Here is a 26,710-nt window from a genome sequence, read left to right on the forward strand (position 1 = left end):
TGGTTCTGTTAATGTGATGGATTACATTTATTGATTTGTGTATATTGAACCAGACTTGCATCCCCGGGATGAAGCCAACTTGATCGTGGTGGATAAGCTTTTTGATGTGCTGCCGGATTCGGTTTGCCACTATTTTATTGAGGATTTTTGCATCAATGTTCATCAGGGATATTAACCTAAAATTCTCTTTTTTTGTTGTGTCTCTGCCAGGCTTTGGTATCAGGATGATGCTGGCCTCATAAAATGAGTTACGGAGGAGCCTCTCTTTTCTATTGATTGGAATAGTTTCAGATGGAATGGTACCAGCTCCTCTTTGTACCTCTGGTAGAATTCGGCTGTTAATCTGTCTGGTTCTGGACTTTTTGGCTAGTAGGCTGTTAATTATTGCCTCAGTTTCAGAAGCTGTTATTGATGTATTCAGAGATTCAACTTCTTCCTTGTTTAGTCTTGAGAGGGTATATGTGTCCAGGAATTTATCCATTTTTTCTAGATTTCCTAGTTTATTTGTGGAGAAGTGTTTATAGCATTCTCTGATGGTAGTTTGTATTTCTGTGGGATCAGTGGTGATATCCCCTTTATCATTTTTTATTGTGTCTATTTGATTCTTCTCTCTTTTCTTCTTTGTTAGTCTTGCTAGCAATCTATCAATTTTGTTGATCTTTTCAAGAAACCAGCTCCTGGATTCGTTGAATTTTTGAAGGGGTTTTTTTATGTCTCTATCTCCTTCAGTTCTGCTCTGATCTTAGTTATTTTTCGCCTTCTGCTAGCTTTTGAATTTGTTTGCTCTTGCTCCTCTAGTTCTTTTAATTGTTATGTTAGGGTGTTGATATTTAGATCTTTTCTGCTTTTTCTTGCGGGCATTTAGTGCTATAAATTTCCCTCTATACACTGCTTTAAATGTGTCCCAGAGATTCTCGTATGTTGTGTCTTTGTTCTCATTGGTTTCAAAGAACATCTTTATTTCTGCCTTCATTTCGTTATTTATCCAGTAGTCATTCAGGAGCAGTTGTTCAGTTTCCATGTAGTTGTGCAGTTTTGAGTGAGTTTCTTAATCCTGAGTTCTAATTTGGTTGCACTGTGGTCTGAGAGACAGTTTATTGTGATTTATTTTTTGTTTGTTTGTTTGTTTGTTGCTGAGGAGTGCTTTACCTCCAACTATGCGGTCAATTTTGGAATAAGTGTGATGTGGTGCTGACAAGAATGTATATTTTGTTGATTTGGGGTGGAGAGTTCTGTAGATGTCTATTAGGTCTGCTTGGTGCAGAGCTGAGTTCAATTCCTGGATATCCTTGTTCACTTTCTGTCTCGTTGATCTGTCTAATGTCGACAGTGGGGTGTTAAAGTCTCCCATTATTATTGTGTGGGAGTCTAAGTCTCCTTGTAGGTCTCTAAGGACTTGCTTTATGAATCTGGGTGCTCCTGTATTGGGTGCATATATATTTAGGATAGTTAGCTCTTCTTGTTGAATTGATCCCTTTACCGTTATGTAATAGCTTCTTTGTCTCTTTTGATCTTTGTTGGTTTAAAGTCTGTTTTATCAGAGACTAGGATTGCAACCCTTGCTTTTTTTTGTTTTCCATTTGCTTGGTAGATCTTCCTCTATCCCTTTATTTTGAGCCTATGTGTGTCTCTCTTCAGAGCTGTCAGACAGGGACTTTTAAGTCTGCAGAAGTTTCTGTTGCCTTTTGTTCTGCTATGCCCTGCCCACAGAGGTGGAATCTATAGAGGCAGTAGGCCTTGCTGGACTTAGCTGGGCTCCGCCCAGTTTGAGCTTCCCGGCCACTTTGTTTACCTACTCAAGCCTCAGCATTGGCAGACACCCCTCCTCCCGCCAGGCTGCAGCCTTGCAGGTCAATCTCAGACTGCTGCGCTAGCAGTGAACAAGGCTCTGTGGGCGTGGGACCTGCAAAGCCAGACACAGGAGAGGATCTCCTGGTCTGCTGGTTGCTAAGGCTGTGGGGAAAACACAGTATTTGGATGGGACTGTACAGTTTTTCCAGGTAGTCTGTCACGGCTTGCCTTGGCTAGGAAAGGGAAATCCCCTGACACTTTGCACTTCCTGGGTGAGGCAATGCCTCACCCCGCTTTGGCTCACCCTCCATGGGCTGCGCCTACTGTCCAACCAGTCCCAATGAGATGAACCAGGTACCTCAGTTGAAAATACAGAAATCACCCGTCTTCTGTGTCGATCACGCTGGGAGCTGCAGATTGGAGCTGTTCCTATTCGGCCATTTTTGAACGGACCCCTTATCAATTTCTTAAAAGACAAAATCTGCCAAAATTTACACAAAAAGAAATATAATTTTTTCTAGTAGACATAGACAATCTGAATAAGGCCATGTCTATTAAAGAAATTGCATAAATAATAACCTTCCAAAAGAGAAAGCACACAGCCTAGATGGGTTCACTATTGAATTCTATAAAACATTTAATGAAGAAATTATACCACTTCTCTACAATCTCTTCCAGAAGACAGAAACGAAGAAATGCCTTCTAACTTACTCTGTAAGGCCAGTATTAATCTAATACCAAACCCAGACAAAGACATTACAAGAAAAGAAAACTACAGACCATTATCTCTCATGAACATAGATGTAGAAATCCTAAACAAAATATAAGTACACAAAATTCATCAAGGTATAAAAAGAATTATGCACCATGACGAAGTGGGAGTTTTCTCATACATGCAGACTGGTTCAAAATTCAAAAATAAGCTTATCGTATTACCAGGTGAAAGAAGAAAAAATCAAATGATTGTATCAATAGATGAAGAAAAGGGGAAGGAGGGATGAACAGGTGGAGTGCAGAGGATTTTAGGGCAGTAAAATTATTCTGTATGATTCCACAATGGTGGCTACATGTCATTATACTTTTGTCTAAACTCACAGGATGTACAACGCCAAGAGCGAACCCTAATGGAAACAATGATTTTGATGTTTCGATGTAGGTTCATCGATTGTAACAAATGGGTAATTCTGATGTGGTGTGTTGATAGTGGGCAAAACTGGGAGTGTCAAGGGCTGATGTATATGAAAACTCTCTGTACTTTCTGCAGAATTCTGCTGTGAATCTAAAACTGCTCTAAAATTAATATGTATTAATTTTTAATTACTGGACTAGGTGTGAAATGATTTAGTTTATAGCTTCAACTCTTTCTCTAAGTTCTTTTATCTTTGGATCTCAAAATCCTTATATAAAATATATGGAGTTGAACTAAGTTAAAATATCATGATTAAACTAAAATTTAAAATGAGAATATTTACCATATATACAGTATGAAATAATGACAAAATTTTAAATGGTAGCTCTGTTTAAATTTCTATTTTAAAAACAGAAGTTATTAAAAATATCCATAGTGACAAAAATATTACCTGTCTGAGCTTAATTTATATTCAGATGGCAGAAATATCAGGGGAAAAAAAGAAGTATATGTCACTGTATGATACTGTTACTGTATGACATCACTGAAACAAGATTTATTGCAAAGAATAAAAATTAAAATATACACTGAACATAAGTAATTCTAGAATTCCTTAATGATTATTAAATCTGTATTGAAACCTATTGATAAGCATTTTGTTGTAAACTCAATTAACAGTGTCTATTTAGGATGCAACACTTAATAATGAGCCCAATTATTGAATGTTTCAGAAATAATTGTGGTTGGCCTAGATTATTTGATACATCTGAGGACAAGGTCTATTTAATTACAGATTCTGAATAGGAACAGAAAATACTCTAAGTTGATGGTTCTTCAAGTGTGGTCCATGATTCAGCAATCTGGGAACTTCTCATATAGCCATATTCTTGGATCCTACTCCATGCCTAATAAATCGGAATTTTGGCAGCAAAGCCAGATAATATGATTTTTTAAAAGCCCACCACCTCATACTGAGGCATATCAAAGTTTTAGAACTATTTCTCTAAATATTTTATGTAAGAGTAAATTTAATACAGGTTAGGTGCTTACAGTATAATTGAGAAAGCTGCAAGAGCAACCTCTGAACCGTGCCTCCAAAAATAAAGAACAGAAAAAGAACTGACCTGCTAAAGTTACCACCTCCTTATCTACTACTGGAACAACTGGTTTCAAGAACATAAGCTATAACTGCAAGGTGTCAGGATGCTGAAGTTAAAAAGATATTATTATTTATGCCAGATATGTCCCTCTCAATAGCAAAAGCTGAAGAATGAAGGCTGAGAAGCAGCTGCAGACAGACTTCACTTCTCCAGGACTTTGTTTCTCACAGAATGACACTCAAAGAGGACAGAAAGACTGCTCCTGTCTTCCAAATCTCATGCCACTGCTCTTGACTGATAGATCACAGTGTGCAATCAGAAACATAGATGTAATGGTATAAACTTAGTGCTATCTATTGACACTCAATGGGCAACACAGTTAAATCTCCACCTAGACATGATCCATATGAATTATCATTTGGTTTCATCACTATATTCAAGCATAATTTCAGAAATAGTAAGGAAACAAAAGTTTAGAAGCAATTACAGTATTTTAAAGTAATTACTACCAATTTGTTACATATCATTGTCATTATTTATAAATTTATATGCTTGCATATTTATTGGCTAAACCGAGCAAATAAAATAATTCTCAGCTACACCTTGGGAAAATATACCTAAGGAATTTATATAAAGAAAAATAGATGATAGATACCTAGATTGATAGACAATAGAACATATATTTGTATAATATAGTATGTTACTCTTTATACACTCTGATTGAGGTAGGCAGAGTATAATATATTTTTATATGAAGAAACTGAACTCCCAAATTATAAAATGCCACATTGTCACATGGCTGATAGATGCATAAAAGAATGTATGTATCGTAACTCATAGGTCAGTGCTTGTTCCAATACACTTTAATGCCTTTGTCTATTATCCTCTGAGAATTCTTACAACAGCAACAGGACATGACAGAAGAAAATGGGTACTGAACCAAAGGCAAGAAAATAGTGTGAATGCAGAGTAAACAGAGGAACAAAATAGTGGCCCAGGGGTTTAAAATAACACATCAAGTCTAAATGCTAATATTGCAAATCTAACACAATTCCATGTATATATTAGTCCAAACAGCTTGGCTGTGTCTGCTAAAACCAAACAAACAAACAGACAAACAAACGATCCCCGAATCCCAGTGACTTAAAACAGTAAAGTTTATTTCTGGCTCCATTGAAGGATGGATGGGGACCTTAATTTGCCTTCTCTTTATTCATGAACTCAGGCTGATAAAGCAACCATTAACTGTAACATTACTGATCATCAAAACAGAGGAAAATCTGCCTCTATAGAGTCCCTTCCTGATATTTAAATGACACACATCACTACTGCTCACAGCTCATTGACCAGAATAAATCACATGGACTCACCCAACTGCAATGGAGCTAGGAAGTAAAATCCTATCGTATGCTTGCAAGGTGGAAACCAAGACAGAAATATTTGGTGAATGGTATTACTGATGATTACCAGAGTGTCAAAGTCAAATTAGAAAAAAAAAAAGGAGAACAAAAAAAATGTATCAAGAACTTGAAACTGAGGGTCACAGATAGTCAATTTGAATAGATGAAACAATGTTGATAATAAACTTAGTATTTGTTAGTAATTATTTTCCGTCATGGATATAAAGAAGCAAAAGAAGTCTGTCTACAAACTTCTTTGTAGTGAGACAGACGTTCAGAGAAAAACAGAGCAAAGAGACAGATTATTATAGCTAGGAATCCTAATGATTTTCTTTGTCTTGACTCTACTCAAGAGAGGCTCTTCTGCCCTTCAGTTCCTTGGATAACTCAACATCTATTATTAAATTTCCTATTTCTCTTAAATTCACTCATATTAGTTTCTATTGCTTGCAGTCAGCAGAGTTTTGATTAAGGCAATGGTACTAATTAATTTTGTAATATTTCTCTATCAAGTGAAATACAATATAGGTTCTAACATGGTATATTGAAGTAGTTTCTCTCAAAATTAGTGGGCCTTATTGTATTTTCCCTGCGTGTTATCTACTGATAAGAATTATTTTTAAATTGGAATTACTATCACAATATTAGATAAAGGAAGACAGTGATAAGGAATTTGGATATTTTCCTCTAGATTAAAATATTGAATATCATTAGATTAAGTGAACACCAATTAAAATAAGTTGTTAATTAAGGGGTTTTTTTTTGCCAAAACAGAAAAAAAAGTAAGGGAATTGTTTTAAGAACTGAGGAAGTGCCAGTTGACCCAGCAACTCTCATCTAGAACTTAAAATGCTAAAATAAATTTCATTATCAGTCAGAGAAGAACAAATTATCAAAATGTATAATGATATTCAGAGAGAAATGAAAGACAGACATCTTTAAAAAGTGTTCAAGTGAAAGAAGCAAAACTAAAATGTTCAAATTCAGAATAAAATTTAAATTACCTCCACCAGAGCAAGTGGAATATAAAAGAAAGTTTCTAAAATCCTTAACATGATTCTTTCAGGAATATTTCATATCAACTATCTATGTCTTTGCATGTAGCTATAACGTCTCCATAAATTCTCAAATTGGAAAGCAACAATCATAGGAAATAACATTTCAATCTTTTTTGTACTCTATATACAAGAAAATAATTTGGCTCACATTGTGAAAAAATTAGACAATTGTGGATGAAGGCTGTCAGATAATCCAAACTGTCAGTTTGGTTTAACATTTCTGAAAAGGGGAAAAACTTTGACCAGAACTGCCAAAAATATGCCAGTCACTTTAGTGCATGCTTGAATAAACATGAAACAATATTTGTATATGCTGATTAAAGACAAGATTTTGCTATGGATTATAAGATTCCACTCAAAAATGTTTTTTTGTTAGTAGGAAAGCCAGTAATGCTTTTAAACATAAAACAAGTGCTGAAATCTGTTTCCTAGAAAATGTCACATAAGAGTATGATATTAATCACAAAAGGTTAAGTTTAATGATCTAAAGTAAAACATATATTGCCTGCCATACGACTGTGGTTTAATAATTTGTCCCCTGCATAATCCTGTAATTTTCAGCAGCAAAACATATTTCTCCAAACATACGCTTTTTAATATTTTTCTTTTCAATTTACATAAGATACAAAAATTGTGATCTTAAAAATCATTCCTATTCTCCAGTCTCAAGAAGTTTCAAAAATACTAAGCAGACAGAAACATTAGCAGACTGAGATCCAGTGGTGAGTGGTTCTCTGCAATGAAGTAGTATTGATCTATTTCAAAAATAGTTGAGTGTCTACTGGGTGCCAGACGTTATTTTTAACTGCTCAGGATTCAGCTGGGAACATGGTAGACCAAGGTCTCTTCCTCAGTAAATGTTATTAACAAGCGAGAAAATATTTAAAACAAACAAGTAAATATGTGATTAAAGTGCTATGGATAAAAATTAACTAGGATATTATGACAAAAAAATTGTATACCAATGTTCCTTGTCAAGATTCAAATTGGGTATTCCAACAACTTTTTTTAACCTTATCTTAGAGCTTCAACAATACAGCATTTATTTATCTATAAACACTTTTAGCATGTGAAAATGGTAATTATTTTCCCATACAATGCCATAGATTACAAATATATTTATTAACATTAGCCTGTTTTTTCCTCAAAATGGACAATAGCAGCATCTTAAAACATTCATTTTATAGATGGAGAAAATGAGCCTCAGGGAACTTAAATGGCTGGCTCATGTTTATGTGTCCCAGCAGAGACTTGAACCTAGGTGCATTGAAGAAAAGTTTATTGGAATTTGATGATGCTGGCACATCACAAATATTATAAAAATGAATATGGCACAGTCCTGACTTGAAAATGTTTCATAGAGAACATGGTTTGCGGTTCTTAATCCCTGGGCAGCAGCAATCATGCTGCTTCTAAAAATAACCAAGGAAAAAAAATCTAATTCTCGGAAGACAGGCGACACTAGAAGAAAGTCTGAGTCTTACTGTCAGTCTTTCTTCTGGTTTGATGACCCTCATCTCCAGAAGCCATCAGAGGTTGGGTACAAAATACTTAGGTCACTTAGCTTCAAATGTAACCACCCCTTCCCTTTTACAAATGTTATCTAAGGTAAATAGAAGAACCAAAGATTAAGATCGAGAAAGACCATTGGCAGGGACTTGGTTACTTTCCTCGTGTGTAACTGACATGCTCACATTTGAAGCCTGAGGAGTGGTCATCACCAGAATGTACTCAGTATCATGTGCAAAATAGGGGAGGTGACTCTCCTCACCAGTTTAAATGCAATCTGATAAAATGTAGCTTCTCCGATCATTGATGTGGTGCTAAACGGCTTTGAGAGAATTAGACTTAGCTGGCTAATTGAGAGACAATCCAGTAGATTTCCCTAGAGGTACACCGGATAGATTTTCAAAGTAAAGGGTTGCTGAATTCCTGGAGGTATCATCTTTTGAACGAGATTCAAAATGGAAGTGTTCATGTTGGGGCTAAAAGGCCTAATACTGGCTAATGTCCACAGCAGGACAGAACAATTAGCAAATTTAGGAAACTGCTCTCATTTATGCCTCCGATAATATAGGTAATGTTTGCAAATCAAGTTCTTCCCTGCTTTAATTAATTCATGTTTATTAATAAATATGAACAGATTAAGTATATTTGACTTTATTGTACACTATATATACATTTGGGAGATCTCCCACATATGTATCACTAGAAAAGAACATTGCACATTGCATTAAATAATTTAATCATTAAAATATTAAAACAGAACTAATTATTTATTTTCCTTCCCTATCTTTACCTTCCTCCCAGGATCATCCAGTGTATATACCCAATTATCTTGGAGACTCTACCTCTACAGTTTTGTTTTGTTTTGTTTTGTTTTTGCACATAATAATTGGGTCAATCAAGGTTCAAATAAATGAGAACAAAACCACAGGAATCTCTGTGACATTTATATTCACAATTCCCTCCACGGCTTCCATCCAGTCTTGGCACAGACCAGACTCCTGTGTGGTGCCTATTGTGCTTTGCGGAAGTAACCTCGTATGTGCTATTAAGCAGGTAGATAGGGGAGACTAGTTCTTCAGACAGCCCAAATGCAAGCCTCCTGTGTAAGCACCTGCTCCCCATTCATGACTGATAATGCTCCCAAATACAAATTCAAGCTCACTGGGTAAGGCAAGGAAAACAAGAGGAAAAGGAAGAGAAAGAGAGAGAGAGAGAACACAGAATGGTGACACTTATGACATTAATTAATCAATTAGGAAAACAGAGCAATTGAAGAAATTGAGCATAATAAGGTCAAATGTAAAAAGCAGGCCAAAGAAGACAAGTTCAAAGACAAGATGAGAACTTTTAATCTAATTAATATGCTTTTGGTAAATCATAAAATGTATATACTATGCTAAAACTGACTAAATCATAAGGCTACAAGGGAGTCCAAGAGTGTGTTAGCTTCACTTGTTCTCTGAAAGGTGAATTTCTAAACTTCCCAACTGAATGGTTCTCTCATATTTTCCTGAAAACCCCTAGGGACAAATGACTTCGTAGCCTCCTGAACAGATTGACATAAAAATTTCATGACGGTAAAACTGATGGTGTTAGATATAAAAGAAATGGTTAATTGCTGTGCCATTTTGAAACTTAATTTTTTCTAGTTTTCCAATAAATCATTTTATGAGGTCTATTTTAATTTAGTTTTTTCATAGTAAGAGAATTGTAAATATAAAAATTTAAATCAGCTTGTAATAGAAATTTTGGAAAATGCTAGAAATTATGAATAGAAAAATTAACCACCTATATTCCTACCAACCAGCATCCCAGCATTAGACTTTCTTTAATTTCTTTGGTATATTTCCTCCTTCACATTATTATTTTATTATTATTTTTGTTGTTGTTTTTTTTTTTTGAGACAGAGTCTCTCTCTGTCATCCAGGCTGGAGCGCAATGGCGCGATCTCGGTTCACTGCAACCTCTGCCTCCCGGGTTCAAGCTATTCTCATGTCTCAGCCTCCCAAGTAGCTGGGATTACAGGCGCCCGCTGCCATACGCCCCGCTAATTTTTGTATTTTTCTTAGATACGGGGTTTTGTCATGTTGGTCAGGTTGGCCTCAAACTCCTGACCTCAGGTGATCCAGCCACCTCGGCATCCCAAAGTGCTGGGATTACAGGCATGAGCCACCGTGCCCGGCACCTCCTTCACATTATTAATTCAAAAATTTGGCCAGGCGCTGTGGCTCATGCCTGGAATCCCAGCACTTTGGGAGGCCAAGGTGGGGGAATCAACTGAGGTCAGGAGTTCAAAACCAGCCTGGCCAACATGGTGAAACCCCATCTCTACTAAAAATACTAAAATTAGCTGGTGGTGTTGGTGCACACCTGTAATCTCAGCTACTTGGGAAACTGAGGCATGGGAATTGCTCGAACTCAAAAGGCAGAGGTTGCATTGGGCCAAGATCATGCCACTACAATGCAGCCTGGGTGACAGAGCAAGACTCTATCTCAAAAAAAAAAGAAAAAAAAAGTCAAAATTTGGATTATTTTCTCTGTGTGAAAATATATATGTGTGTGTGTATATATATATATATATACATATATATATACACACACACACATATATATACACACATATATATACACACACACACACAAAAACATACACACATATGCACATAGAAATAAAGTTTTGTATCCTCCTTTTATTCTTTTTCTTTCTTAGAGACGGGGTCTTGCTCTGTAGCCCAGGCTGGAGTGTATTGGCGCAATCACAGTTCACTGCAGCCTCAAACTTCTGGGTTCAAGTTACCCTCCCACCTCAGCCTTCTCAGTAGCTAGTACTACAGGCACACACCACCACACCCAGCTAATTTTTTATCTTTTGCAGAGACAAAATCTCTCTGTTACAAGCATGAGCCACTGGGCTCAGCCTACTTTTTAAATTAAACATTACATTATGAACATTTTTAAAGATTTTAAACAGTAACCAAACTAAGATTTTTAAATAGTGCTGTAACAATGTAACATATTATAGTGGGTTGAATGGTGGCCCTCCAAAATATGTCTACATGAATCTGTGACCTTATTTGGGAAAAAGAATCTTTGCAAATGTGATTAAGTTAAGGATCTTAAAATAAGATAATCCTGGATTAGGGTGGGCCTTAAATCCAATGGTACGTGACCTTAGGAGAGTATAGAAGTGGCAACAGACAGAGAGAAGGTGTTATGAAGATTGAGGCATAGATTGCAGTGATACACCAAAGATTCCAGTGGCCACTAGAAGTTAGGGGGCATGGAACTCATTCTTCTTCAGAGATTCCAGAAGGAATCAACACTTCGATTCTAGACACTGGCCCACAGAACTGTGACACAATACATTTTTTGTTGTCATAAACCACCCAGATTGTGGTAATTTGTTATGACAGCCCTAGGAAAATAATACACATGGATAGATCATGATTTACTTAACCATTCCCAGAGGAATTTTTAAGATAAATTTTTTCTTTTTAAAAAAATTTTGCTATCATTAATGATGTTAAAATTAATATCCTTGACATTCACTCATTCAACAAATATTTATTATAAACACCTACTACATGCTGGATACTCTTCCAGAAAATTGGGGAAATGAGACATCTTGGAGCAAGGCAAGGGTTTCAGTCCCTGTTGAGCCTAAATTCAACTGAGGGAAGACATGATAACCAATACACACGATAAGTACACAAATTATAAGTATGTTGGAAGATGTACTGTGCTATGGAGTAAAGAAAAAAAAGCAGAATAAGGGAGTATGAGTTGGAAGGATTCGATCTGCATTTTAAACAGGCTAGTTAGGGAAGACCTTATCGAATAGGTGACATATGAGTAAAGATAGATGAGAAGACAGTGGGGAGTTAGCCATGTAGCTATCTGAGGAAGAGCTTCCAGGAAAAAGGGAGAGTCAATGTAAAATGACAAAGATTATATCTTTAGGATAAATTATCAGAAATGTAATTATCAGGTCAAAGTGTGTGGATATTTTTTAATCTCTTGATAAATGTCAAGAAATTGTCTGGAAAATTGCATCAAATTAGACACCCTGAAAATGCACCTGAGTTACTGCTTCCCCAAATTTCAATACTGTACATTATCATTGTTTTTATTAGCCAAATTGAAAGGCAAAAAACATAGATGAAAAACTTCATTATGCAAATTTGCTTATTCTGGTGAGAATGTATCTAGAAATCATTTTTATTTTTTTCTTTTAAGAAATACCTATACTTGGAAATGCTTGCTTTTTAAAAAATATTGAATTGGGAAACTTTATCCTGTGAATCAGAAAAGTTTATTCTGTGATCTGTGTCTTTAATATATTGTATAAATGTCTTTTCCCAGTTTGAAGCTTGTCTTTTAACTGCTTATTTTTACTTAAAAATATAGAAATATTTTTAAGTTTATATACTAAAATATGTATAACTTTTTGCTTTATAATGCATTTTAGGGTAATACTCTGTTATTTCTTATCTCCAAGAAAAGATGGATAATCAAATATATTATTTACAATTGTTTTCTAAGCCTGTTTTAAAATGAGTGTATTTTACAAGAATACTACAACTTTTTGCGAAGTATGACTAGGAATTTAAAAGTTGTTATATTTGTGTTTCCTAGCAAAATTCAAAACTTAAATGCTCATTTTATGTAAAATATTTAAAATGAAAGCATGGAAAATTCAATAATGATAAGAGTTTAAATATATCATTCTGAATATTTTTTCAAAATTTAATTATTGCTGTACTATGTATAGCATATAGTTGAGAAATTTTAGTTTTAAAATAAATTTTAAAACCTTTATCAACACATTATTATACCTTTAAATATTCAATTTTATTTATAATATATTGTGTTTCATAAAATAAATTACACATCACAATATTATATAAATAAATCTATATAGGCTTATTTCAGAGATACTGTGGGTTCAGTGCCAGATCACCACAATAAAGTATATATGGTAATAAAGTGAGTCACATGAATCTTTTGGTTTCCCAGTGCATATAAAAATTATGTTTACACTATACTGTAGTCTATTAACTGTGCAAAAGCATTATGTCTAAAAAAACCCAATGTATATACCTTAATTTAAATATACTTTATTGCTAAAAAAATGCTAGTGATCATCTGAGCCTTCAGGAAGTCGTAATCTTTTTGTCAGTGGAGAGTCTTGCCTCGATGTTGATGGCTGCTGGCTAATTAAGGTGGTGGTTGCTAACGGTTGGGATGGCTGTGGCAATTTCTCAAAATAAGACAATAACAATGAAGTTTGCCTCATCAACCAATTTTTCTCTTCAGAAAAGATTTCTCTGTAGCCTGTAGCATGCAATGCTGTTTGATAGCATTCTACCCACAGTAGAAGCACAATAAAGCGAAGGGCAATAAAGTGAGGTATGCCTGTATATATACACACATACACACACACACAGCAGATAATATATATAGAAAACAAACAGAACAAAATCTAGAACAAAAATGAAATGGATATATCAAACTCAGAATAATAGACTTACTTTGATAGAGCATTAAATTTAACACTAAGCTTCCTGACTTAAATAATATCTGATACAACAAAATCAGGTCTACCTCTGCTATCACATAACAAGCAGCCCACAGGGCTTTTGTAACCTTTGCTTGATTGAATTACTGTCACCGAGAAGTTCAGTGAAGCATTTTCTGCTTCCTAGCAGTCTCCATCATTCTAGTATTTATAAATAGCAAAGAGCAGCAGGCTGCAAACAAAACTTCCATTGGAATAACATATCCAAGATTAGTTCATTTATAAAGTTCCTGCTAAATAGTCAATCCCCTTTTAGCTGATCATGTTTTCATCCTTTTCTAATTTCCTACACTTGAAGGGGAAAAGCACTTAAAAATATTTAGAGGTATTATTCATTCAAGGTTTTCTTCTGTTTCTATGTATATTCTTACATTTGAAAACTATGCTCATGTGATCAAATAAGACAAAAGAATATATATTTATATATATTTATTAACTATTTTACAGTCTTCTGATTTTTTTCTGACTTTGGTCATAAAAGGTAAGTAGAAATCACATTTACTATACTCATTTCAATTTTATGTTATCTGCACTGTGTACATAAACTAAATATATGCCAAAAATTTCCCTCCTTCAAAAGGAAATTTAGATTCATTCCTAAATGATTTGACTTTTGGAGGGCTATAAATATATAGGCACTTTTTGATTATGTATGTGTAAACTTTGACCAATCAAGATATTTGAGTGAATATTTTGAATTCTTAACTTTATTCCATTAATCAGTAAAAGAATATATTCTTAAACAATTTGTAATTCCTCACTAGTAAAACAGTGCCTTGAACTCCCTCTGCTGGCCTTATAAGGGTAGTTTAACTTTAAAAAGTCATTCACATATTTGTATAATAATCTAGCATCGAAAAACAGAAACACTTTATATGTTGCATAATGACTTCAACTATAATAAAAATTCAAGTTAAAATATACTTATCCTCTTTTAACCCTAAAAAATACAGCTTATATCATAAAAAGTGATACTGAAAGGCTATTACTATAATATAAAATCACAATAATCAAAATAGTCTGAGGCCTGGAACTCCCAGCCTCAAGCAATCCCTCCACCTCAACACTCCAAAGTGCTGGGATGATACACATCATATGTCTGTATCAAAATATCTCATATACCCCATTACTACATACACCTATATACTCACCAAAATTAAAATTGAAAAAAAAAAAAAAACAGAAGCAGGCACAGGAAAAATTAAAAAAGAAAGAAAAAGATCAGTGTAAAGAGTAGAGCATCCAAAAGAGTGTGTTAGGAATTTAAGGAATTGTTACAAGCATGACAATTGAATCAAGTTGGGAATTAGGAGTTTATCAATCAATGTATACTTAAATACTTGGTCATATTTCGAAAATAAAACAAAGATATATATTGACTTCATACTCTAAACCAAAATAAACTCCAGACGGAATTTTAAAAATTTAAATATAAACATTAAATTAATATAATCATTGCAACAATATTTTGAAGAATTTCCTATCTTTAGATGGGAAAGTTCTTTCTAAAAAACAGGAAGCTTAGCAGTGATAAGGGAAAAATAGTCATATTTATCTACACACATATTTTCATAAAAGGAAAACACCATAAACAACATCAAAGGCAAATGATTGGGGCAAATATTGCAACAGATATGATAGATAAAGGCATAAATTCCCTACTACACAAAAAGCTTCTATAAATTGGTGAGAAATAGAAAAGGAACTCAATAGAAAAATAAGCAAAGACTTATGCTAAGGAAATTCACAAAAGAAATCTAAAGAGTCAATAAACATACAAAATCCTGCTTGTCCTCACTAATAGTCAAGGAGAATAAAAGTAAAATGCACAGTGAGGATTACAAGTCATTAACGGGATACTTAAGCCTTGGGCTAATTGGCAAAAATTCAAAATATAACAACATCCAGTGCAAGTTGCTGCAATCATTTAAAAAATATTTCGGCAATATCAATAAATCAAAGACACACACACACACACAGGCACACAACATTTGCTGAAGTAATTTCACTTGGTGAATATCGCCAATGAAAACAAAGTACCAACACCAAAGGACATGCATCTGGTGACACGTAATGTAATTTGTTTGTAATGGCAAAAAATAGGAAACATTCTAATAGTAATCAAATATAAAATACTTGAATACATTTTAGTACATTTTATTATATAATTATTTAAATAAAATATATAATATATACATATTTGTCAGAAAGAAATATGTATTGCTAATGATGAATCATTAAGATGAACCATGATAAATAATTTTAAAAAGCAGTCACAACAATATGGCATTTGTATATGATTTTTCATGTTTGGGTCAGCATAAAAGAAGTTGTGGAAGGAAAGGACTAGGCCCTTTATAGCAGCTATCAATGAGGTAGGAATGGAGAGGGTGGGGGGAAATTTTAATTTTTTTATATACATTTTTGAACTTTTTTACTAATTAAAATAGGTATTAATATTTTTTATAATTGGACATCTTAATAAAAATTAAAATTCAAAGATAGACAGCTAAAATGAGGTATTCCTATATATCTTTCAGGACATAAGGTTTGTTCTGTACATTTTAGGTCATAGGCTCTATCATAATTCCTCTTTATTTTTCGTTTATTACCCCCAAAAGGTAAAAGAAATGCTAACCTTCCAGCAGTCATGTCCATGAAATTCAGGTGCGGAGAGGAGAGAGGCAGCAGGGGAATTTTCCAGCACTCATACTTCAGAAAACTCCCCAATGGATGTTGAAAACCACCTCTTCAAAGCCCACCCTGTGCTCAGAGCAACGGCTTTACATATTAGGTAAATGATAAAACGTTCTCCCCACTTGTTTTCCACAGGTTTCATTAGGGGCTGGCTGTGATCACCTGTGACAGCAATACTGATTCCCAATATAGTTTCAAAATTATGCCAGAAAAGTAGTGCAATATTTTTTTTCCTCAACCTTGGCTGCACCTTAAAATAAATTAGAGAATAAACAAAGAAAAAATATTGTGCTCAAGTTGATTGAATCAAAATCTTGGAGATAGGCATTGGTTCTCCTGTGCTGTTTTTTGTTTGTTTTTTGTTTTTCGTTTTCTTTTTTTTTTTGAAGCTCTTCAGGTGATTCAAAAGCACAGTGAGTGTTGGGAAACATTAACAGGGTAAGGGTCTCAAGCCTGGTGCTAAGGTGGTAATTGGAATCTATTTTTTCAAGTTTCTGCCCATTTTGGGAGCAAAGGAATTAACTGCTTTTTTATTTCAGACTACCTTTTTTTTTAAGGACTATTTGTATAGTGAACAGCGCTGAGAGAGCTGAGAGTAGGTTTGTTTACTGTCTAATATAATAAAGACAATGCCTCCCTCTGGGTCAAAGGTTGGGCAAATCACAAAAGATACAGATTTTCTAAGCTCAGAGTTCCCCTGCTGTGATAAAAACCTACTGCATTTATAGCATCCAGCTGGCCTTTATTGAAGAACCCTGTGGGGATCAGGTTTCAGGGGACTGGTGAAAAAAAATGATAATACTCTGGCTACTGCTATTGTTGTAAATAGTAAACTGTTCTCTGTCTTTGAGTCAAGAATCTTGTCTCTTCTACCAGTATTCATAAAATGTGGAGGCTAATTTGTTAGCTTGCAAGTTGGGTAAAATCTCAGACCCTTTGCAGTTTTTGACAGAAAGTTCCAGTTTCTCCATAACCACAGCCACCCTTCATATCATCTCGGCCATTCTAAGAGATATGGTTTTAATTCACATTTCCCTGATAACGAATGATACAAGGCATATTTTCCTGTGCTTGTTGCCATCTATATATTTTCTTTGGTGATGTGTATCTTCAGATCGTTGGCCCCATTTTACAATGGATTGTTTGTTTTCTTGTTATTGAGTTTTAAGATGTATATATTTTGGAAGCAAGTCCTTTGTCAGATAGGTAATGTGCAAATACTTTCTCCCAGTCTGTGGCTTGTGTTTCCATTTTCTTAATGATGCCTTTCAAAGAACAGAAGTTTTTTTATGTTGACGAAGTCATAGTTATCAATGTTTTACTTTATGCATCATATTTTTTTTTTTTTGACGGAGTCTCGCTTTTTTGCCAGGCTGGAGTGCAGTGGCGTGATCTCTGTTCACTGCAACCTCCACCTCCCGGGTTCAAGCGATTCTCCTGCCTCAGCCTCCCGAGTAGCTGGGACTACAGGCGCGTGCCACCACACCCAGCTAATTTTTGTATTCTTAGTAGAGATGGGGGTTTCACCATGTTGGCCAGGATGGTCTCGATTTCTTGACCTCGTGATCTGCTCACCTGGGCCTCCCAAAGTGCTGGGATTACAGGCATGAGCCACTGCGCCCAGCCTACATATCATAGTTTAATCTAAGTAACCTTTTCCTAAGTCAAAATCACAAAGATTCATCTAGAAATATATTTTTAGCTTTTATATTTAGAACTATGAATCATTTTAAGTTTTATACAGGCCAAAGTTCTTTTATTTCTGTATATGAATATTGCAGAATTGAATATTTCATATGAACATTGATTAACCACCATGCATTGAAAGGATAATGCTTTTCCTCCTGAATTACCTTGTTAACAATGAAAAAAATTGATTGACTGTACATGGGTTTATTCTGGACTCAATGGTGTTTTATTCATCTTTATATCTACTTTTATGCTACTTGCACATTGTCTTGATCAGTGTAACTTTGTGACAAATTTTGAAATCAAATAGCTAAATTTTCAATTTTTTTCTTCTTTTTCAAAATTGTTTTGCATATTCTAGGTCCTTTGCACACTGTTATGTTAGGCCAGTTCAAGATGGCAGGTTGGAGTTAAAGTATAAATTATGTTCAAAAGGGCTGAACAAAATGAGAAGTCACAGAGTTTGGACATTAAGACAGGGAACATGTGTACATAAATCTGGTTTGCACAGGGTCAGTAAGTTATTTTTCATTTGTGGTATCAATTAATGGGAATCTGGTTTTATTGTCTGACCATTCCATGTCCTCTTCCATTCTGATATTTTTGGTTGTTCTAGTAAATTAACTACTGTCATTCGGTCTTATCAACAACTGCTAATTTCTTCTTTTATTTCATGTTTTCTTGAAGGTTCTGTTATGCACTACATGCAAAAGATTGAGTCAGTCTCAGAGATTTGTTGAAAGGACTGTACCAGGTAATCTTTCCTAAAATAACCTGTAACTGTAACTCATGGTTTCAGGTTTGGGAGTTAATGTGAACATTGCTCAGACAACATTTAGACTCCACCAGAGGACTGGATTATGATTTCCAGGAATCATTTTAGTCCAGATGCAAGGTTCAAGAAAACAGATCCAGAAGAACAGAAATTACTTACATAGAATCAAATACATTAGTAAAGCATATTTAATTGTGGTTATTTCTTTTGGCATGCTATTGGTATTATTTTTATAAATCTATTTTATGAAGCATTTTAAAGGAAATCTTTCCTTTTATGATTAATTTATCTCTAACCCTTAATTCAGTAGATTATAGTTTTGCAATTTGAAATGAAACTTTTTAAAAATGATATCTGATTCTCAGAGACCTCTCCAAATTCAGAAACAGATGACTGTACTGAGCCTTTTTATTCATGGCAACACATTTATTTCATAGGTTCAATAAGAATCCATCCTTCCTTTTACCGGGACAAATTGACAGTACCACTCAGGTCATATTATAGAATTACACTTGATCATAACTCTCTAGAGCTCATCATTAAAAAGATAAGTATTTAAATTCACATATGGAGCAAATACCCAGAGCATCCTCACACCAAACTGGACTGTCACCTGTGATATGACTTAACAAAGTCCCAGTCTTGCAAGTGATAAGGAAAGTCACTTCCTAGCCAGGAATCTAAGAATATTTGAGTGATTGCAAAGAGAAAATTCACTCAAATTTATAGGCACTGCAATAAATCTTGTATAAAAAGACTTTTGTTTTTTGTTTTCTAGACTCAAAATAAAACCGCAAAAAAGAGAAATTTAAAAGTCTAACTCTGTTTTCCTTCTGAAATATTCAGACCATAGTTAATTTTCTAATAGCAATTTGTTCAACCCTATATGCCCTATGAGGCTTATATTAATTAATACTTCTCAAGGTACGTATGTAAATAATCAGGTTAAAATATTATGAAACTAGCCAGCTTTGTGATTTGGAACAACCTTTATAAATTACTTATGATCATTATAAGGGGACACTTAAGAAAAATTATCCAAAATTTGGAAATAAGGCAAAGGGAGAGCAGCATATCCTTTTAATGTCAAATTCAAACATTGATCAACTCAAGAAATAGTCCTTTATCTAGGGAAATCAATAATTCTATTGCTATGTTTAAAGAATTATCTAATATTGATTAAAGACTCAAACTATGTAATTTTACATGTTAACTTGTGTAACTTTGTCTGGTATTTCCTTTCAGTAGAAAATATAATCCAAGAAATTATGGTTTTATTGCTTTATAGGATATTAACAAGTTTTGTGTCTCACTGGCATGCTCACTCAGTATTATTTTTCCAGTGAGAATATAATTCCTGTTTATTTGAACCAGCTTAGTCTTCCTGATAGTTATCTCATTAATGAGCTGAATAAATTTTGACAGGTGTTCATCTGCTATTTTATGATAATCATATATATACATGTAAATTACATATATACATATATATGTAATCATATATATATATATATATTTAAGAGAAAGAGTCTTAAAATGTTGTCAAGGACCATGCTGGAGTATAACAGCTATCCACAGGCATGATCATGGTGTGCTACATCCTCAAACTCCTAGGCTTAAGCAGTCCTCCTGCCTCAGTCTCCTGAATAGCTGGACTACAGGTGCAGGCCACCATATATGCACTTGCATTCAATCTGTCGCAATATGTTGTTTTGGTTGAAGTATTTGAAGACATTCCTGTTTCACACAGATATGTAGTTGGGGAAATAATAATTATTTTTACAATAGTCTTTTCAGTTAATTAGTCTAATTTTTAATGATAGCTGTGTTTAGCAGCCAGTTTGCAAAATTCCATGCTTACCAGGCTCACACCTTCCTCAATAACACATTTCTTAGTGCCTTGAGAAGGAAGTATCCTCAACTGCCCCACTTTAAGGTAAAGTAAAAAGGGGCTGGGCAGATTCATTCCAACATTTCTATTTTTGGGGGTGTTTGGACTTCATCCTTTAGAGAATGCCAGCAAAATTCAGGCATTTCCACTTTTTAAAACATAGGTTATTGGTGAGTCCACACTTCAATTAGTCAACTTATCAGGTTATTAATGTATTTTTACATGCGTTAGTCAAAATATTAAATTCCATATTATGGGTGAATGCATCCATGACAATGAGTTCAACACAATTGCACCTTACATTTTATCTTCCTTGGTATAATCCCTTAAAATCCATTCCCACACACATTCTCTTGTCAATACAGATTGGTGAAGTGCTGAAATTCTTACACTACTTTTCATCCATTCTAGGTCTGGAAGAAATTATAGGTGCACCATGAGAAGAATGAGTTTCTGAGGCAAGTGTATGCATTCAAAGATTTTTTATACAGAAGAGATTTGTTTTTGTTTTTGTGGTTTTTTTTCTTTTTTTACTATCTTCTATTTGACGAAATTGATGGTGGGACTGGGAAGAACATGAAAATTCTCAGCCTTATCTATGCTGCTCAAACGTCTCTGTCTTGTGGTTTAAAACTTCACCCCTTTTCCACTGATACTTTTCTATCAGCATAAGAGACCTAGAGATGTTGAGAATTTATTAGAATTAAAACTCCGCAATTGTCACAATCAAACCTTGGACTTAGTTCTCTTCTATATCTTCTCTATGGCCGTAGGAAATGAGAGGCTCATTCAAATCTGCTCTTTAGGCTTTCTGATCATCCATGCCAGATATTTTAAATTTTCAATAGCACAATTTCTACATCTACACTCTCTGGTGTTATCAGAAGAAGCCGGGTGACACCAAAAAGTTTATAATTACTCTGTTAGCCATTGCAGCTAAGTTTCATAATCATTTAATATCCCAATCCCTCGGCCTGCTCATATATTTCATCCCATGACAAAAGCTGTAATCATTTGAGTAATAGTAATGTCACTACACATAATGAATTATCCATATCTCATTTCTTCCCAATACTCCTCAAATATTTAAGCAATTCATTTCCTAAATTTGAAGTTCTGTTTCCTGGGGCTGCTTCTGATTACAATTATTGTACCAATCAGGTTCCTGGCAGAAAGCAGATGACACAAATCAACTAGAGAAGAGGTTCATAAATAAACCATTTACACAGGTACAGACGAGGTATAGGGAAATCACAAGGATTGTGCCAAAACCTGATTACAGTAACATTTCCAGGTTCTTACTCCCCACTTCCCCATACACACACAGACTCTGCCTATGACTTTATTTTAGTGTTTCTCACAAAAAAATTAATTGGGGGGTAATCCAAGATTCTCCCTTGCCTACTGCATCCCACTTCAGTTAATTAAATACCAAGTCCCATCCATTTCACCTCTTAAATATACACCTAACATATCTTCTAAACACAGTGACCCCATGCAGTGTGGCATCATGGTTCGATGCTTACTGAGTGATAAGAATTTTAGTATAACATTCATTGTATAATGTATACACTGGAGCCTCAGAAGAAGTTGTGTAATAAGGAACTAAGTTGCGTAGGTTCTATGTCATAATAAGAAGTTCATTTTTCTTTAAATTACAGCAACAGAAAAAAATAGGGGTAGCAGAGCCCTTTATATGTCCATAATATTTTTGTTTTTGCAGTTAAATGCTCAGCTTTAGAAAAAGCATTAATACATCAGCACAAAAGACATGGATTTTAATATGTAGCACATTCAGTTATAGCACTGCAAAGAGAATTAGGAAAGAAGTAACTATAAACATCCAGCTGCAGAGTTTAAGCAGTCTCATGCTGTGACTACAGAGAGTGCAAATTATATGTTCTCATCTCATTTTAGAAACCAAAACGCATTATATTAAAGCCTAATTTATGTTACAACCTGGGAATTATTAAGTTTAACACAATTTAGACAATGTATAGACTTACTGAATTCTTTATTTTGATTAGTATCACTGAATAAATATTAAACTGCCTTACATGAGATAGATAGCGTCAACACATACAAAGGTCTCCCTACCTGAACTACTGCACCAATTTTTTTTTTTTTTAAGAGACAGGGTTATACTCTGTCAACCAAGCTGGAATGCAGTGGTGTGATCCTAGCTTGCTGCAGCCTCAAACTCCTGTGTTCAAGTCATCCACTCACCTCAGCCTCCTGAGTAGCTAGGACTACAGGGGTGCACCACCATCCTTGGCTAATTTGATTGATTTTTTTTTTTTTTTTTGTAGAGACACAGTCTTGCTATGTTGCCCAGGCTGGTCTCGCACTCCTCGCCTCAAGTGATTCTCCTATCTTGGCCTCCCAAAGTGCTGGAATGACAAGCATGAGCTACTGCACCCAGCTACTGCACTACTTATTGACAATAAGTTTCAAGACAAAGCATATCTGTAGTTCTCTCTGCTTATTTTGTATTACCTACATAATCTGTGTTGTAGTAATATTTATTAATATAAAGTGTGGGTGGCTGCATTACTTGCAAATTAAGTGTAACTTAAATTCATGGATCTTCGTCATTTTTGGTCATCTAAAAAGATCTACAAGGTATCATTTCATTATAATTCATTTTTAAAGATAAAATATGATAAAGAAGTAACTTTCTATGAGATCTCTATGAGAAAAACTAAGTAATATCTACGTGCATGATGTCCCACTCCTATATTTATTTATCCTGTTTTTCTTCACTCAACAACATCTCTCTGGCCCAATTTAATCCAAAAACGTAAGACATACTTATTTCTGAAGAATGATTTTCACTATAGGATAGAACAGACAACTCTCTGAACACTTGAAACAACTTCACCATGTTAAACACCCTTCAATTGCTAGAAAAAAATAGACCATGGAATCTTCTGTTTTTATAAAGCAGTACAGAAGAAGACATTTGTAAAATAAGAATAAATGCTAGGTGGAAAGATCAATTTGCCTTTCTTTTCTAAGCCCCATAAAGAATTCTTCAGGCCAGACAGGCTTTAATAACTGTCTAGCTTTGGTTCAAAGAGCATGTATCTAATAGAAAGAAAGAACAAATGTCCCTCATGTGTTCCAAGGAAAGGATTCCTTTATAAATGTCAGAGTAATAGCTAGAGTTTTCTGCTATTCTGAAATTAATCATTGCAATGTTAATGGCTCTTTATGTGCACAGGAGGTGGGGAAAAGCAGAATTAACAAATACATAGTCCAGGGCCCCAATCTCCCATAACCTCTGTTTATCAAACCCACATTCTTGGATTCCTCAATACGGGTTTCCATGTTTTGTTTTGTTTTGTTTTTTAAAGGATAGGAACATAACTCAAAATGTTAATATCTAATGCTAATCTCTTTAAATGAAAAAATAAAATCATTTTCTGAAAGCATATTTCCTTCCTGAAAGATCTGAATAAAACGAAACCCTCTAGAGAACTAAAAGTTTCTAAGAGCATACTACAATATATCAGATATTATTGAAAAGAAATGTGGCAGCTATTTTGCTTCAAGTTAATTAGGAAAATAAAATATGCTTTCTTTTAGAAGTCATGGAAATTGTTGGAACTTTTTGATAACTTAATTAGGCACTTTTATATTTAAATAAATATAAATAAGGAATTGGAAAATAATCATTTTTCTCTCACTGTCTTTCAGAACCATGCAATACTGTTTTTCTGCATTTCCTTTTCAGTAAAACCGATTATTTGGGCTATCCAGGGGAGTTTTTAAAAAATCTCAAAATGGAATACTTTGCAACATACACTTGATATATATTTATGATGATAGTTAATATGCTAAAGCTTCCCAAATACACATGTGATATAAATTTATTTAGAAATATTTAGTATAAAACAGAAAATTTTAAAGGAAAACTCATTAGAAAAATGTTTAAAGATTTATATACACAAAGTTCATTACATTGTCTTTTTATTTTAGGATAGTCATAATTGAAAAGTCAAAATTTGGAATTAAAAGATTATGGCACAAAATTATAATAAATATTATTCAACTATGAATCACTAGAATGCTGATTTAGAATAGTTGAAGATGTAAAAACATGTTTTTAACATAGTAAGAATAACGGCCGGCCATGGTGGCTTACGCCTGTAATCCCAGCACTTTGGGAGGCCGACGCAGGCGGATCACCTGAGGTCAGGAGTTTAAGACCAGCCTTGCCAACATGGTGAAACTCTGTCTCAACTAAAAATACAAAAACATAATAATAATAATAATAGCCGGGTGTGGTGGCGGGCACCTGTAATCCCAACTACTCGGGAGGCTGAGGGCTGAGGCAGGACAATAGGTTGAACCCAGGGGGCAGAGGTTGCAGTGAGCTGAGATCGTGCCATTGCACTCCAGCCTGGGTAACAAAAGTGAGACTCCTCCTCCTCCAAAAAAAAAAAAAAGAAAAAAAAAAAAAGAAAGAAAGAAAGAAAAGAAAGAGAAAGAGAAAGAAAGAAAGACAGAAAGAAAGAAAGAGTAAGAAACACTATACTATTGGGAAGATGTATACCAATGCATTAATCATTCATAATTCTAAATCATTTTTCTTTTAAAAAACTCCATTTCTGTGACACTAACATTTATATTTTTCTAAATATAATATTTATATACATATGCATCCTAAAAATATACTGCTATTCAGTTTATTCATTAGCAGAATTAATACTGTATAAAAATTTCTTGGTTATCAGGTAACTGAATCATTTTGCATATACCTTTGATACTAGAAAACAAGATAAATATAGCTGTATTTTAGTTACAGTTTCTTTGGAAACATACACCAGTTTGGTAAGTTTTGAATATCTTTTTTTCATTTTTGCAATTGTGAAATGAATCACTGGCTTGAAAGAAACTTTTATTAATAGATAATGAATATCATTCCTATTTGGAAACCAAATGCTCGAATCGAGTAGGGTACTAAGTTGGAAAATTCTGTACACAAAAAACAAATATTGAGTAATTTAATTTGGATGCATACTATTCTATGTATGAAGTGTGTGGATCCTGGATTGCACATAAGTTAATTTATTAAATATGGTGAAGCATAATTTTCTCAACTGAAAAATGACAGCAATAATAGTATCTATCGGATAATTGTTAAGAGGATTAAATGAGACATGCAGTATTGGACAATTTTAATATTACTATTTTATAATTTTCATGTTATTATTCAACCAATCATAGGATTAAGTGGAATCATAGGGTTCATTGTGAGATTAAATGAAATGCTATTCACAAATCTCTTACACAGTGACAGGTACTTATATGAATAACAATAAAAATAGTAATTTTACTTCCTAAATATGTATAGTACCAGATTAATAGTGTCTCAATATCTACATATTCCTCTAACATTATTTCTTTCATGATCCCAAATTACTAATTTGCTATTAATTGGCCTCAAAATGCCTATCTTTCATGTTGAAATATTTGGCAATTGTGTTATGAGAGGAAAAATAATATGCTTAACATTCGGCAAAGTACTTCCAAAGTCCAGAATGTCCAAACTCTTAGCTTATATTAATATGAAAATATGTTTAGAAATCTACTTCTGAAAATGGGCTTTTTCAGTGAAAAATATCATTACCCTTTTTGTGGTGCCTGCATTAGTCTACTTTAAAAAGTATCTGCAATTAAACAGAGAGGAATATAAAGTTTAATTTGTATCATATACTTAAAATAATAATAATTATTATTATTTTGAGACTTGGTCTTGCTCTGTCACCCTTGCTGGAGTGCACTGGCACTAACATATCTCACTGCAGCCTTGAACTCCTGGGCTCAAGTGATTCTCCTGCCTCCCATCTCACATGTAGGTGGGACCATAGGCACATACTACCAAACCTGGCTTGCTTATTGATTGATTGATTGATTGTAGAGGTGGGATCTCACTTTTGTTGCCCAGGCTGGTCTCCAAACTCCTGGGCTTTGAACAAGTGATCCTCCCACCTCCAGCTCCCAAAGTGCTGGGATTATAGGCATGAGCCACCATGCCCAGCCAAAATATTATTTTTTGAGTAACATTAAGTGTTTAAAAAGTTTTCAGGA

At 34.3% G+C, this 26,710-nt stretch overlaps 1 annotated feature.

The window, feature by feature from the left end:
* Window positions 1,372-1,873: an enhancer, noted in NCBI's record as "H3K4me1 hESC enhancer chr12:82707907-82708408 (GRCh37/hg19 assembly coordinates)". NCBI's record gives its function as "activates a minimal SCP1, AML or CMV promoter by ChIP-STARR-seq in naive H9 embryonic stem cells {active_cell/tissue: H9 hESC(naive)}" and the evidence as "EXISTENCE:reporter gene assay evidence [ECO:0000049][PMID:30033119]".

Source organism: Homo sapiens, chromosome 12, assembly GCF_000001405.40.
Source record: "Homo sapiens chromosome 12, GRCh38.p14 Primary Assembly".
Classification (NCBI taxonomy): domain Eukaryota; kingdom Metazoa; phylum Chordata; class Mammalia; order Primates; family Hominidae; genus Homo; species Homo sapiens.